Raw genomic sequence first — 2,128 nt, 5'->3', positions numbered from 1 at the left:
ACTGGATTTTGGTTTCCATTCTAATGAATTTATTTTCCTATTTCAATAGTTTTGCTTATCTGTTTTCTGATAGTTAAGTGCTGCAATCCTAACTCTGTTATTCTGAGATCCAAGCACCCTCATTGTTATCAAGGAACTACTATCAACCATGTCCTTTGTAGGGATATACCATTGATCCAATGATGATGGTGACCTTCTCACAATGCATTCCTTATCACATTGATAAATGGAGAAATATGTAGGCCCTTTTGGGGAAAGTAGTCGGCAATAATACAACTACTTTAGCCTGCCAACTTCATTGAGCCTTTTCATGTTTACCTTGACCCACCTAACATGAAAATTCTGGCATTTCTACTTTACTTTGTGTGAACCATCACTTTCTCCAATCTTCCAAAAGCCATACTAATAGGATGTTAGTCCTATATTACAAGATTTTATTCATGGTATTAAATTCTTAACAAGGAGGAGTCCTTTCATAGTAATAGACTTTCTTTATTATACTTTATATTCATCCAGTTGTGGTCTAATCTCTATAGGACTCTGTTCCATGTACATGCTCCTAGATCCTAACAGTACATATAGGCTAGGTGCTACATCTTCTCTGAAGTATAGTCCCTTACGTCTTATAGTAGAATACTTACTAGTAGCACCTTTTTGGACCGTTTATATTGAAACCAATCTTTACATATTGGTCTAGTGGTTGTTAGGGAGATTGGGATACATCTTGAGAAGACACAGGTGTTATAAGGCAGAGGTTTCTGCATTTCTTTGAAGCAAGGGAAAAGGACTAGCTTTCAGACAATAAAATTCATATTTTTAGGCCCTGAGGGGTAAAACTCTGGGGATTCAGATTTCTGACCAAGGTTTCACTATTCTATGTCTTATCATCCTTTTTTTTTTCAGTCATAGTCTTCTCGACATAACACTCAGGATTTAGATTGTTGAATTTTCTGTACTTTTATTATTCTTCTAATTAAGACTCAGGTCTGATTGTTAGCTTTACCTACCCTCCAGACATGGGAGATGATTGTTTGTATGTACTTATGTGATGTGTTGCCTTAAATTAGTGATTAATCACTCTGAGCCTTTCTTAGCTCTTTTTAAATCCCTATGTATAAATGGCTCTTAGCAATAGCTATCGTATTCCACTGTCCTTATAGTTACTATTTCTCCTGAATTTCTAAAATGCCCCAGATCTGAGATATTTCAACAAGAATTTATTTTGTTTTGTTTTGCTTTTTCTAATAGTATCCCATACTGGTATGTTACCAGAGAAATTCTAATGATTGCATGTCAGAAGTTCTTAGTACCCCGACTACTGCCAGTCATAGGGTTTTCACTGCCAGCTGGTAGGCAGATGCTTCAGTTCCAAAAATTTAATTTCAGAGTCTTATTTTTTGGAACATAATTAGCATCAACTGACATAGATAAGGTTCCCTGGGAAACAAACTCTGAGATAGTTATTAGAATGAAGGTAGTTTATTGAGGTGAGTTCACTGAAATAACACCTGCCTGAGAGTGAGGGAAGTAAGATGGGGCAGAAATCTCTGACATAGCTTTTCAGATAGTGTTGCCAGATTTAGCAAATAAAAAAATACAGGATTCCACATTATATCTGAATTTCTGATAAACAATTACTTTATTGCAAGGATATATTTTAGTTTAAGTATGTACTAAATATTGTCTGGACACACTTATGTCCCATAATTGTTTGTTGTTTATCTGAAATTAAAATTTAACTGAGTGTCTTGTAATCTTTCTGAAAAGTCTACTCTCATAGTTGTCACACATTAAGATAATAGACCAGGCTGTTTTTCTCCTTAAATTGGAAAACCTTTAGATGCAAACTACCGACAGACGTGAGGAAAACTTATGTGAGGCAGCTTCTTTGGTTAAAGATAAGTCTTGGAGGTGATATAAACTGTGAATTGTTAGTAGCCATCACTCCTGAAATCTGAGTGAATAAGTACTTCAATTCTAGTTATTAGAGCTGAGTAGTTCACAGTCTTAATGATTGTGTGAATGTGTGTGTGTGTGTGTGTGTGTGTGTTTGTGTATTTGAGGGAAGAATGGAGAAAGAGAGAAAAGATTAGATAAGAGGCAGGAAAGTGGCAGAAACTGTCTCAGT

This window comes from Homo sapiens, chromosome 4 (genome assembly GCF_000001405.40).
Source record: "Homo sapiens chromosome 4, GRCh38.p14 Primary Assembly".
Lineage (NCBI taxonomy): Eukaryota > Metazoa > Chordata > Mammalia > Primates > Hominidae > Homo > Homo sapiens.
Note: the sequence above shows the minus strand (reverse complement) of the source record.